General features: G+C 43.3%; 1 protein-coding gene and 1 long non-coding RNA gene across 42 annotated transcripts in view, besides 1 other annotated feature; one reads left to right on the top strand and one right to left on the bottom strand.

The window, feature by feature from the left end:
* The window catches only part of CSGALNACT1 (chondroitin sulfate N-acetylgalactosaminyltransferase 1), a 353748-nt gene that overhangs the window by 65982 nt on the left and 273884 nt on the right, over window positions 1-13882 (top strand). For 4 of the 41 annotated variants that reach the window (XM_024447191.2, XM_047421978.1, NM_018371.5 and 1 more), the window contains exon 1: window positions 9324-9454. The exons of 34 other annotated variants lie outside the window; for them this stretch is intronic. The gene's annotated coding sequence lies outside the window, so the exon portion shown is untranslated. Of the gene's footprint in view, window positions 1-8686; window positions 9000-9165; window positions 9232-9323; window positions 9455-13882 lie in introns of those variants that run through there. 3 more of the 41 variants (NR_024040.3, XM_024447192.2, XM_006716363.1) reach the window with 2 other exon arrangements.
* CSGALNACT1-AS1 (CSGALNACT1 antisense RNA 1) lies at window positions 2365-13382 on the bottom strand. Its single transcript, XR_007060841.1, has 2 exons — window positions 13100-13382; window positions 2365-3203 (listed from the first exon to the last, which is right to left on the bottom strand). It is a non-coding gene; the product is annotated as a CSGALNACT1 antisense RNA 1 (long non-coding RNA).
* Window positions 12032-12632: an enhancer, noted in NCBI's record as "OCT4-NANOG hESC enhancer chr8:19536806-19537406 (GRCh37/hg19 assembly coordinates)". NCBI's record gives its function as "activates a minimal SCP1, AML or CMV promoter by ChIP-STARR-seq in naive H9 embryonic stem cells {active_cell/tissue: H9 hESC(naive)}" and the evidence as "EXISTENCE:reporter gene assay evidence [ECO:0000049][PMID:30033119]".

Here is a 13882-nt window from a genome sequence, read left to right as displayed (position 1 = left end):
CCCAGTCTTGGGCAGTTCTTTGTAGCAGTGTGAAAACGGTGCAATACAGTAGGTCTGGGTGGGGGCTGGAGATGTGCATTTCTCACAAATTTCCAGATGATGCTGTTGCTGCCAGCCCAGCGACACACTTGGAGAATCACTACTTCAGTGTGTGGCTCTTACAGTGTTCCAGACCCGTATAGTTAGCTCCATCTTACAGCAGAGGAGCTGAGGCTTAAAGAGGCTGAGTCACTAGTTCACAGCCACAAGGCTAGGAAGCAGGCATGGAATGTCATGGCTTGGGTCAGCTGTCGATGTCCCCTAGGCCGTCTGTGAATGAAAGTCAAGCCTGCGTTATCGTCAGGGCTGTGGAGCTGCAGGACTGGGTGCTGCCCCACTCAGTGGGCCAGGCTGTTAACCACCTGTGGAGTTAGTTGTTTGGTCTAACAGGCCTAGTGATTTTCTTAAGTTCTTTTCTAATGAGAAGGCAATTGGTGTTTGTTTTTGTTTTGTTTTGTTTGTTTTAAGAAATTGGGCCCTGTTTGATTAGTGGTATTTTCCCTTTTGGTCCAAATGACCCTGGTAGCTGAGGTTGGCTGTGTTGTCAAAAACAGTGAGATCTAGAAGCCCTGCTCAGCGGTGTTTGGGAGGAGGCCTGTGCATCGTTGGCTGAAATTTATGGGGAACTTCCCAGGAACCCAGCTTGACCCCTTTGCTCACCACCTGCTGCCTGGAGCATTACCCCCACACTCAGACCTATCTGTTTTCTCCTTCGGGCGTGGCCTCTTGCCTTGGCTGACATTTCATTTTATGATAAGCCGCAGAGAGTTTTATTTGTGTTTTTCTTCTTTTCTTTGAGACTAGGTCTCACTCTGTTGTCCAAGCTTGAGTGCAGTGGTGCAATTGCCACTCACTGCAGCCTTGAACTCCTGGATTCAAGCAATCTTCCTCTCTTGGCCTTCCTAAGTGCTGGCATTACAGACATGAGCCACAGTGCCCAGTGCCATGGAGATTTTTAATAAGGCAATCTTTATTAATGGTTGCTGTGGTCATTGCCAGTGACCTTCACAGAGTCGTGAAATCTTTTGCTTATCCCTGATCTCAGACATCTGAACAACAAACTCTAATTTCCCAAATTACCCGTTGAGCAAAGTAGTCCTTAGGAAGACCTAGGCTTGCAGGATAGAAAGGGTGGGATAACACACCCCCTCCTTCCATGCGGAGTTTCAATCACATATTATTAATTCAGAGTATCGTTATTGCTCCATCTGCAAACTGCAAATGTGAATTCCAGCCATGTATTTTTAAACAGCTCTATTATGATCAAGCAAATTTGAACCTCTCATGTAGTTTATTACAAGTGGGCTTTGGTTATAGAGGAAAAAAATCTGTTTTATATATGTTTTCTATTTTGTCATTTTTGGTAAGCTGTAGTCAAACTCTGAGTTAGGAGAAAGATGAGCTCTTTGACTATTTAATAGTTCTATATATCACACTTGTGGTAGCTTTTGTCATTTTTTTTTCTTAGCAGAAACAGAATGTTAAGGCCCAAAGTAGAGATATCTAAGTCCTGGGAGCAGGATGATATTAGAAATACTGATGAATTTATAATAGTATGGAGAATTAATCTGGATAACGAAGATTTTAAAATAGCATTACTTGGCTATAAATGCAGTTAATGTTGCCTTCTGGAAGGAAAAGAGGTAAAATTATATCTTCTGTTACTTTAGCAATTGATTTGAAAAGTATTCATGTATTAATTGTCCACTCAATATTAGGAAATGTATTAGAATATAACTGCTTTGAACCTTTTCCAAAAAAGTTTTATCCAGATTGTAGTAAATTTATACCTGCAGTTGTCTCTACAATATAGTGTTTTATTTGTTGAGTCCTGTTAAAATTCAACACATTTAGTTTGAAACTCAAATTGGCTTTAATGATTAGTGATTCATGAACTGGGCATCATTTCATCTAAAGATGCAGAAAAGGGACTCTGGATCAGGCATTGGCGGTTGGTTTTTAAAAGGTGGCTTGAGCAGGAACAAGAAAACAGCATAGCGCAAAAAAGCAGATTGTTAATATCAGGTTACTCTACGTCACTTTCCTTGTAAGGGTTCAAGCACAGGGGACTTCTTTATGCTAAAACTTGCTGTTTGGGGATTTAACTAGCATCTCTCTCTCTTGATTTCTCAGGTCAGATAAATAGCTTAGTTTTGGTTTGGTGATGTGGAACTTTAGCATGAGTGACTCTATTTTGGTTGGATCTGTTGAAGCCTAGAGCAGGAGCTCAGTCTAAATCAATGGCCTCCTATAAATCTTAATAGTTTAATACATAGAAAATTCTCAGCATCTTTCTCATAGAATTTTTAAGCAGAAGCCAGAATCTTTTATAGTCGTGTGTATCAGTTATTTATTGCTGTGTAGCAAACCTCTTCAAAACAGTGGCTCAAAACAACAGTTATTGAGTTCGGAAATAGGCAACTTGGGCATGGCTAGGCATGGAAGGTTTGGGTTCCATGCAGTGTCAGCTGGGACCGTTCAGGGGGCTGGAGAATCCTCTTTCAAGATGGCTGCTCAAAAGGCTGTTGACCAGAGCTCAGTTGGGGTCCAGGGCCGGGGTCCTGGTTCCTCTCCAAATGGCCCTCTTCATGTAGAACACGCCATGGGCTGCCTGGACCTTGTCATACCATGGTAGCTGGGTTATAAGAGTGATTGTTCCAGGAGAACCAGGTGGAGAACTATAATACAGTCTTTTATGACATCGTCTTGGAAGGCACATGGCATCGCTACTGCTGTGCTGTACTCCTTGGCCCAGATTGCAGAGGACGGGGCAATAGGAGATGGATTAAGAGGAGAATCAAAGATTTTGGTATGTTTTAAAACTGCCATACTCCATTAGAAGCCTCTCATTAACATTTACCCTAGCCAAACTGTGGCTTCTAAATGAAAGACTGATCACTTGTTGCTAAGGTGACACTGCACTGTTATCCATAATTACGTGGACATGCATGGCTGCACGTCCAGATAGGAATCAATTTTGTCCCAGTTAGGCGAGTCCTGAGCAGTGTTCATTATCTTCGGACCATGGTGCATGTGGAGGAGGTTGGCGAGGGCAGTTCTGTTGGGATGGTAGGGATGGAAGTCAGACTGCTGGGCTGCTGGGAACAACTGGGAGATGATGATCTGGAAGCAGCAGGTGTAGACGATGCTCTCAGAGTGCTTAGCTGAGACAGGAAAGAGGGAGAAGGATACAGTGGGCTGAGAGAGCTTTCATATTCCTATCTATTTTATCAGCTTTTTCTTTTTTTAAAATAAAGATGAGAGAATAGGGTGAAGGGAAGGAGTCAATGCAAAGTATAAGGTGGCATTGTTTCTATCATGTATGTGACATAATTTCTGGATTTTAAGTGCAGGGCTCCTGGCACAGCACATATACAATGGGCACTGGTTAAACATTTGCTTTAGAACAAAGGAATTCCACCTTTAGAAAAATGTCACTTAGCAATTGCCCACCACCTGCGTGACCCCTTGCCTTCCCCTTCAGGGTGTGGCCACTTGTCTACCATTTTGTTTTATATTAGACCAAAGAGATTTTTTTTTACAGAATCAATCTCCCATGTGGATGGATGCTGCAGCAACCCTGGTGACGTCCCTATAGGTATGAATTGTTCTCCTCACCCTGATCTCAAAGATCTTACCAATCAACTCCATCTATTTCCCTAAATTACCCATTGAGGAAAGCAGCCCATGGGAAGACACAGGGCTTCAAGAAGGCCCCACCGATGTCTCCAGGGACCAAATACTGATCTAGTCAGAGAGTTGTTCACTCTGGGGGTGTCAACTGGCCATGTGTAAAATGGGAAATGAACACCTACTTCAGAGGGATGTTTTGAGAGGAGGGCTGTGAGATTGATGACTCCTATAAAGTAGATTCTAAACGGTAAATTGTACCTTGCAAACCACAACACGGATGTAAGAAACTGATTATTTGTCATCCTGTAAGTCAGTGGCTGTTTATGTGTTCTCAGAAACTTGATTCTTTTTCCTCTGAGGGTTATACAGTATCTGCTTCAGTCACTTTTCCATTTACTGACTTCTACAAGAAATTGTCCTGGAAGTGTCAGCCATTGAAAAACAGCAATAATTTTTGCTTCATGATCTACAGTTGTAATGGACATAGTAATAATAGTATTGTCTTTATGTAGTCTTTTTCTTTATAAGGAGTAAAGATCAAAGACTAGAGTTGATAATAGGTGAATGGAGTTTCATTTCTGGAACTGCATGTCTTTAAAAGCCAAATTTTCTCTGACATGTGAGAAATGGTTGATATTTCAGGAATTATATTAGTGTGGTAATGGACCAAGGCATACAACATGGACGGAGTAACATAATCCAGTTTATACTTTGTGCTAATTAACTTCTATGTGAAAAGAACTTCCATTTTAGTTAATTTCATTTTTTTTTAGTAATTTGCATCACATCTGTACGGCATTGTACATTGAGATTGTTGTGATATGCACATATATAATATATTTTAGTGGGGCATCTCTTTTGGAGCAGCTATACTCTTTTTCTAAAGCAAAACTTCTGATGGGTCAGAGGATGAGACATTGATTACCTAAGTTTTTCTGCCTAGTAGAGGAAGTGTGTGTGTTTAAGTGATCATAGATAGAGATTGATGGTTAAATGTCTTGCTGAGGAATTTGTCAAGAGGTTGGTAGGATGACCAACTAGAGAAAAAGCTCATTGGTGGTTTTGAGGTCTCGATGTATTGACTGCATTGTGGTAAAACAAACGTCACAAATACACTCTCATACTGTGCACATTTTTTGCAGTTCTTAATGCAAACAAGCCCCAAGACCATGAATAGATCCAAACCGCAATCATAACATTTAAGTTATACAGGGCATTTGAAAAACAGATCTTTGTTGCTTGTGTTTCCTAGCATATGGGCATCTATATTGTGTATGATTTGGTCCTGATGGAAAGCTCTGTGCCAAGGCTGAGAGGGAACCATTACGTTAAACTGTTGGCCATGGAGTCAGAGAAGGAGAGAGAGATGTGCCCCACCAGAAGTCCTATCTCTAGTCCAGCAACCATGATGACTCTGTGACGTCACCTGTTACTTTCCCAGGGCAGTCAGAGGATGGATGGTATCCCTGTCTGGGGTGGTTCTGAATGTTCCCTTCTGAGGTTGTTAAATTTCTGAATGTTCCCTCCCTGTCCAGCTTCTATTATTTTATCCTATCTAGGCACAAGGGAGAGGTGGTGAAAAGCTCCAGTTTGCAGAGGAATTGAAGTTCTATGTGGCCAATGTTTATGCCCAGTGGAGTTTGTTTTTTGGTGGCTATTATTTCAGTTCCTGGGACTTGCCTTCTATGTGTAGTCTTGGTAGGAGGCAGGCATTGGCTCTGCCTAGGCACAGACAAACCCCCAAGGACAGCCAGCTGGGTGCATTTCACTGGAACTTTGAAACTGGAGCGAGCAGTGCAAAGAGGAAGGTCAGTTAGAATGCGTTGGTGGCTGTGGCAGCAAGACTCCTGTAGCTCCTGAGACCTGGTGGGCTTCTTTGAGCCCCCTGAATGCTGTCTCCTATAGATAAAGTGAGAGTGAGCTTTTTCTATTCTTCTAGTTTTTTTTCCTCTAAGCTGGTAAGTGTTCAGTCCATCCGTTGTTATCAAGAGTCCTGGCTGACATGGAGACCACCCTGTGTGTCCCCTGCATGGCCATTTGTTTTTAACTCTCTTTGGCTCTGCTTTTGGGGGGTCCTTGTCAGTCCGCTGGCTGGAGAGCAAAGCAGAACCCTGAAGTTCCCATTTCCATCGGCCAAGGTTGATTCACTGGAGAAAAAGAATTAACTGTGCCCTTGACTGTGCTGTGTAGTCATTTGTGTAAAGGCAGCTATCACTGTAATCTTCCTACTTGAGGAACACGTCACAGTCCACCAAGAGTGTGTACTTACGCGATTGTTTCGATACATGAGTATGGGTAGATGGCACTACCCAAGTTTTACAAGTGATCAGGTGGCCTTAATGAAGTTAAGTCATTTGCCTGAGGTTGTACGGCTATTAACTAGCAGAAGTAGAACTTAAACTCAAGCCTCCTTACTCCAAAACTACCTCTTCCCACTCCTTCTCGTTGGTATGTCAAAGTTAGCCTGGTGGCAAAATGCGCTTCCTTGAAATACCTGCCTGTCAGATTCAGAATATGAATGATGGCCTAGAAGCAGGATCTGTACTGAGGGAGGGACCATCGTTCCATCTCATCTGAATCCATCAGGGGCACCTTCAGCCTGAGAACCCAGCTCTCAAAATCATATTAAGGTTGATAGTTCAGGGCACTGTACTTTGAAACCGTTCCTTTTAAAGAACCATGTAACACTAAGAACTAGTTAATGCTAATTAGGAGCATCCTCAAATAATTTTTTTCTTGTTTTATTTCTTTGTTTCTTGTTTTGTTTTTGGGGCAGGGTCTTCCTCTGTCTCCCATGCTGGAGTGCAGTGGTGCAATCGTGACTCACTGCAGCCTCTGGCAATCCTCCCATCTCAGCCTCCTGGTTAGCTGGGACCACAGGCACATGACACCAAGCCCAGCTCATTTTTGTAGAGACAGGGTTTTGCCATGTTGCCCAGACTGGTCTCAAACTCCTGGGCTGATGGGACATAACTGCCTTATGTGCTCATTGCTGGTAAGTTAGAAAATAGAAATAAAAAGAAGAAAAAACTCCCATTATCTTGCCAACTGGGAATAAGCACTTTAACATATTTGTTCAGGCCTTGCTTCGTCAGGTTTTTATTGCCATGTATTGGGTACTGTTCTTAGCATTTTTACATACCTGATCTCCTCATGCTTTCCCAAGTTCAAATTTCAAAGTTTGTGCTCTTTACCATAGTCATAAATGCACCTGTTACAAATGTATAGTTATTTAATGTGAACTTAATAAGATAGATTGAGGGCAAAATCTGTGAGTGCTGTTACAGTAGAAAGTGTGGGAACAGGGATGGATCCAGGTTTTGTGGAGCCTGAAATTCACACATTTTTTTAAAGAAAGCATACAACATGGATATGAAATTACATACCAAAGTGAATATTTACTTAGAATGAGAAAAGAAAAGTGAACAAATGACTGACACTTTGGAGATTCACGTTCTTTTTTTCTTCTGAGCTCTTTTTAGGTGGTTGGCCAGAAAGGCTTACACGGAGAGGCTTTTTGATTGGAACCTGGCTTTTCTTCCCTTTCCAGAACTCCATGCACTCCCAGGGGCAGCACAGGGAGGGGCCCTGCTGTTTAAGCTTCTTTGGCCTCCCAGGAGGAGTGGGAGGGAGGGTGGCTCGATACCTTCAGGGAGCAATCCCTGGGTCCCAGGGGAGTGAGGAGGGGAGGAGGCATCTGTTCCCTTTTTCTCTTTGGAACTGAGAGCCCTGGGGTTATGGGGAGTCACCCCAGCAGGAGTGAGACAATTCCTATCCCACTGCAAGATAGTATAAAATATTTATTGATATTTTATTCTCATAATCTTATGTTTATTTTTATTAGGTCTACAGTCTCATATGGTGAATGTTTGGGAGCAGAGATAGTTATTTTCCAAATCTTAACCCGTTGCTTCAATACCTTTGTCAATGAACGTACCTTTTCCCATTGATTTGAAATGCCACCTTTACCATATAATAAATTATTTATTCTTAGATCTGTTTCAGGATTTTCTGTTCTCTTGCATTGATCTGCCTGTCTGTTGCTAGATTATTACTGAATCATTGAGCTTTATTATGTATTTTTTTTTTGAGATGGAGTCAAGTTCTGTTGCCTGGGCTAGAGTGCAATGGCACTATCTCTGCTCCCTGCAATCTCCGCCTCCCAGGCTCATACGATTCTCCTGCTTCAGCCTCCCAAGTAGCTGGGATTACAGGTGTGTGCCGCCATACCCGGCTAATTTTTATATTTTTAGTATAGACGGGGTTTCACCATGTTGGGGATGTTGGTTTTGAACTCCTGACCTCAGATGATCCACCTGCCTTGGCCTTCCAAAGTGCTGGGATTACAGGCATGAGCCACCACTCCTGGCCTTACTACATATTTTTATATTTGGTAGAATGTGGTCTTGCCCTCTGTCCCTCAATAGCTTTTCCTTAAAAAAAAAAATACTTTCTTGACTTTTCTTACATTTATTACACTATGAAAGCTTAAGAATCATTTTTGCCAAGCTGTAGAAAAAATCCTTTTGGGATTTAATTAGATTAATATTCATTTTACATAAATTTTGAAAGACTTGAGATCTATATAATAAATTACTTTCCAGGTATATGGTCTGTCTATTCCATTTTCCTTTCATGTGCTTGGTATTTTTTGTGTGTTTTTGGCAAATTTTTAATGTTCAGTTCTAGGTAGTTATTTTTAATATCAGTTACGAAAGGGACTGTATAGCCCTCTTCCACAATCTTTTCTAACTGGCTGCCATTGGTGTGTGGAAAGGCTATTTTTAAAAGAACTTGACACCTTACCAAACTCTTAGTAATTCTAATGGTTTTTAAATTGTCAGAGCTTTTTTTGCCTTGCTTCTACTTTCTGAAACCCATTTTTAGAGTGGTTTCTCATGACCAAGATCCTGATAAAATGCCATGACAACTGGCCCCCAGGCTGTGGGAGGTGGCGAGGGTCATGTGGCTATAGGCAGGCTTCCTAATCACAGTGATCGTGGTTGAGCAAAGTAGAGTAAAGGTGATGCCGCACAGACCTTGTAGAATTTTACACATCGTGGAAAAGCCTGACCAAGTGTGAACTCTGTAGCACAGATTGAACCATAGCACAGATCAAATCCTAACACCTGATCTGACATTTCATTCCATTATGTCCTGTGATCGCACACAGTTGCCTATCTGTTCCCGTCCATCCTGTCTGGCAATGGCAAATCACGGTCTCCAGGGTCATTTAAAGGGATGCTGTGTTCAGGGTGAACTCGTTCTACCTGCTCTTTGGTTTACGAAGGACTGCAGCGAAGTGAACTAGCGATGGATAAGTACAGGTAATTGGGATTTCATATATGGTCATGGGGTTGCTTGACAGCGGTCTGCAGTTGGACCTGTGAGGGCTGCTGACTGCAGTGTCCTGGCCCTGATTGCAGAACAGGATAGTGTTATCTGTGCTGGCCGGAAAGGCTGCTTAAAACCAGACCTCAAACTTGGGCAGACGGGCTTGTTCTGGGATCCGCAGCCTTGCTCAGGCTGTGCATTGGTGTGGCCCCGAATTGCACGGAGGTGAGTAACCCAAGACTTGTGTCAATGGCTTCCTTGTGGTTTTGGCTGTTGTTGCCTGAATATTTTACACAATCTTTGGGCTCTGAAGTCCCAGTGTACATCAGTGAGTGCTCTCCTTAGGTGGAAACCCTGGGAGTAGAGTACTGACAGCAAAGACCGGGAAAGACCATACGTCCCCGGGCAGGGGTGACAACAGGTGTCATCTTTTTGATCTCGTGTGTGGGTGAGTGGCAGAGGGAAGTTTCCTTTATTGGGTGTGAAATTTGCTGCAACTTTCTGTTTGGGGAGTGCTGGGAGCTGTTTTGTTTCTAATTAAGAAGAGCCCTAGGAAGGGAGGTAAGTGAGCTTGCCAACTCATTAGCAAACACTCTGATTAGACCTTCTGGGCACATTGCCTAGCGGCCCAAAGCAGGGAGAGGAGAGACAGGCTCGCTCCTAACACTTGCTGGACCCGAGGCAGGAGTACAAACAGAGGCTCACATTCCATGTGTCTAAGTAGCTGTTTCCAAGTTCTAAGTCAAGCTCTCTAAAAATCAGGTCCTATACTGCCATCCTGGTAAATAAACACGACCTTCACAACAACCTGGAAGCCAGGCTCCAATGTAGAATTCTCAGACTCCTCAAGTTTCTTGTCCAAAATCTTTCTGTGGTACAGGGAGACATCCCTGGCCACAGGTCCCAAGTCTGTCTACACCTCTGCAGACAACCTCTCTTATGCAAACTGGTGAAGTGCTTCACCCTTGAGAAAATGGACACTGGCAGGTAAAGCAGCAGGCCCAGGGAGACCTGGAGTGTGACCCAGAAGGTGGGGTGGTGTCCAGGTGAACATGTCTTGGGGGCCCTGTGAACTCTGCCCTATGACATGGTGTGGCTAGAGAAGGTGTGAGCAGTGCCTTCTGAGCATGGTGCTCAGGGCACGGGCCCAGACTCTGGCCCAGCCTGGCATTCCCAGGGCAGGGGACAGAGATGGGAGGAGTTGAGGGAGCAAGTGGGAACTTGGAAGCACATCCAGGCCAGATGAGGTGCTGCAAGTGCCGAGGTCAGGCACTTCAAGCGTAGGAACCCTTGGACGTACCAAATTATGGTTTTAGAAATGTCTGTTTGTTATTTTTAGATTTGGGCAGTATGTCGCCTGCAGATTTACCACTTACCTGATGCAGACCCAGGAGACTTGTCTTGTATCTGCTCTGACCTCTCTCCTCCCAGGTCCCTAGGTCCCCAGTTCTTCCTTTTAATGTTGTGCTGGTGGCGACAGAAGTCTGCTGTGATGGAGGAGCCAGCGATGGGGATGGGGGCGCGAAGGACAGATGCACCATTTCCCCCTTTGCCTCTCTCTCCCGCTGCATTTATGGATCTGCTGGTCTAGTTCTCATTCTTTGCCTCAACCTCTTACACATATCCAATTCCTGCCTTTCTACTGTTTCCATTCTTACTCTGTTCCTTTCCTTGCTGTGAATTTCTTCCTATTGCTTGGTGTTGGTGGCTTGGCAGGGGCAGTGGGGGCTCTGCAGGGAGGTGGGAGATGCTTTCCTAGTATCCCAATGAGCTTCTATGACCTTGTGATAGTAGTAAGGTCGTCCCTTCATATCTTCAGGGGATTGGTTCCAGGAGTTTTGGGGATACTGAAATCTGGATGCCCAAGTCCCTTGTATAACATGGAGTAGTATTGGTGTGTAACCTACACACATCGTCTTGTATACAGTCTGTACAGTCACACGCAGTTTTCATCAACAAGGGACCACATATACAACTGTGGTCCCATAAGATAATGGGGCATATGTAGAAACCTGACATATGGCACTAAATAGTGGCATTGCAGATCAAGTAGGAAAAATGGTTGATATTCAGTAATGGTTCTGGGATATTTGTTTTTCCATGTGAAAACATATACATAAATAAAAACCTAATACCGTGTAGGTTTGTGTGAGTACATTTTGATGTTCACGTGCTGATGAAATTGCCTAATGATAGATCTCTCAGACCTATCACAGTCATTCGGTGACACATGACTACTTTAAATCACCTCTTAGATTACTTGTAATACCTAACACAGTGTAAGAGCTATGTAAATAGTTGTTATACTGTATTTAAAATTTGCACTATTCTCTTTTTTTGTGGGGGGGGGGGGGGGTGGGGCGAGGGTGCAGATTCTTCCTTTGTTGCCCAGGCTGGAGTGCAGTGGTGTGATCTCTGCTGACTGCAACCTCCACCTCCTGGGTTCAAGTGATTGTCCTGCCTCAGCCTCCCAGGTAGCTGGGATTACAGGCACCCGCCACCACACCCGGCTGATTTTTATATTTTTAGTACAGGCAGGGTTTTGCCACGTTGGCCAGGCTGGTCTTGAACTTCTGACCTCAGGTGATCCACCTGCCTTGGCCTCCCAAAGCGCTGGGATTACAGACATGAGCCACCATTCCAGGCCTATATTTGCACTATTTTTAATTTTTGTCTTTTTAATTTTTATTTTTCCAAATATTTTTTATCTGTGGTTGGTTGAGTCCATGGATGCAGAGGAGCCCATGGATGCAGGGGGCCAACTATACTATTTCAGGTAGTTTACAAGTGAAATAGGCTTTTGGAGGTTGACATAGAAATCTATAACATTATTCCTGTGGGGAAGTATATTTCCAATTTCAAACAAGTAATTTGTTAAGTAAACTTTCAGAACTAAAGTTTGTCGTGGCTATTTTTAGAATTTTGCTACTGGAAGGGTGCTTTGTCCATTATAACCTGTAAATGAATTGAATCTACTCTAAGCCGGTATGTAGGCCCCCTTCCAGCTCAGAAGGTCTATGAATTCAGTGCACATTCCTCACTTTTATAGGGTAGGAAATTGAGATGAGAGTGTGTGAAGTTATTTCTATAAAGCCGCAGGTAAAGTGTTGCCGGGACTCTGGCTTCCTCTTCCACCCTCTTGTATGTCAGAACCTAAGAGTGGCGTTTTCATAACCCAAGGAATTTGGGCACCAGCACCTGTTTGTGGGTAGCTGGTGAATATTGATGGCACATGACTGTCTTGAGTCACAGCAGGTGGTGCCGGACCTTCCTTTGTGCACAGGTTGAAAGGCGATTTGAAGAAGAATAGCGAGTATCCTAGCTTTTTAAAGGTGGCTACAGGGGTATTTGATCAGCATTGTCAGCATCCTGCGTCAGTACCTTAAAATGAGATTGATCTGTATATGGGTTAAGTTGTTGGAATTTTCCCTTTGTGTTTTATTTTATTTTATTTTTTATTTTTTGAGGCAGGATCTCCCTCTGTTGCCCAGGCTGGAGTACAGTGGCATGATCATGGCTCATTGCAGCCTCGACCTCCCTGAGCTCAAGCCAGTTCTCTCACCTCAGCCTCCCAAGTAGCTGGGACTAGAGATGCACATCACCAAACCCCACTAATTTTTGTATTTTGTTTGTAGAAACGGGGGTTTATCATGTTGCCCAGGCTGGCCTCGAACTCCTGAGCTCAAGCGATCCACGTTACTCGGCCTCCCAAAGTGCTGGGATAAGAGGTGTGAGCCACTGCACCCAAGAGGAAGTTTCTTATGGCTTTGCTGCTGTCTTGAATTTCCTTACCTTTAAGAAGAGTTCCTGTACATAGAATAATTATGAAAGTTTTTCAAGTCTTTATGAAATTTTTCTACACTATTGATTGCATAACGTTTGTAAGACTGTTTCCTTATTCATAGAATAGGGATAATGATATCTCCTACTTAATCTTTATGTCAGGATTAAGTGATACCAGAGGAGACAGTCAAGCTCCCAGCATGGGATGGCCGTTAGTGAGTAACCACTAATTGCATTGGTTTCTATTATTGTTGTAGTTACTGTCATTATAATGAGGGCTTCCTGGTCTTACCTGCTTGGTGTCACTTACCAGGTCTTGTCCTTTTGGATGCCTCCTCCCTCATTTGGACATACTTCCTATTACTCCAGACGAATCTGTTTCATGTGCTGAAGCTCTCCCCTTCGTGGGTCAAAACGTATGGAATTTCTGCTTTGTAAAAAAAAATTCATAAGATTTTGATTAGTTACATTGCAGGATCTAGTTGTGATTCCACTCTGCTGCCTTGAGGTCCCACCAGTGATGACTTTATTGTTGACATTTTCCTTTACACTGTTTGTCTTGGACTTTCTTCTCTGCTTAATGAGCTGGGGACACAGGGACATTCCTGGAGCCTATTTACATTTTCTATTACGTGCCTGACTTGCATTTACGTCAGACATAATCAGTAACTGCTTAGCTATGAGGACAAAATGAGTTCTACCTTTCTGTAATAGTTACCCTTCCTGGTGACTTATCCTGGAATCATTTTTGTACTCTGTCGTTGGTTATTTGAAGAATTCTCAGTCTGGAGTCCCAATCCGAAAACTTTGCCTGTTTGTTAGGTTTCAGTATTACATGCTAATTCTAAAGAGCCCTCTATGCAGAGATGTCTGGATACTTCTTGTTAGGCCTTTTTGCCCCGGTATGCTGAGTGTTAAGGTTAATAGTGATTCCCTAAAACTTGGGATTAGTCCCTGAGAAAACAATTTAGGAAACATATTTGCAGTATGACTAAGTAGCATTTAGTGGGGTAATTTTTTTTTTTGTTTGTTTGAGATAAGAGTCTCAGGGTGGCCAAGGCTAGAATGCAGTGGCACGATTCTGCTCACTGCA

This window comes from Homo sapiens, chromosome 8 (genome assembly GCF_000001405.40).
Source record: "Homo sapiens chromosome 8, GRCh38.p14 Primary Assembly".
Classification (NCBI taxonomy): domain Eukaryota; kingdom Metazoa; phylum Chordata; class Mammalia; order Primates; family Hominidae; genus Homo; species Homo sapiens.
This window is presented reverse-complemented; position numbering and strand designations above follow the sequence as displayed.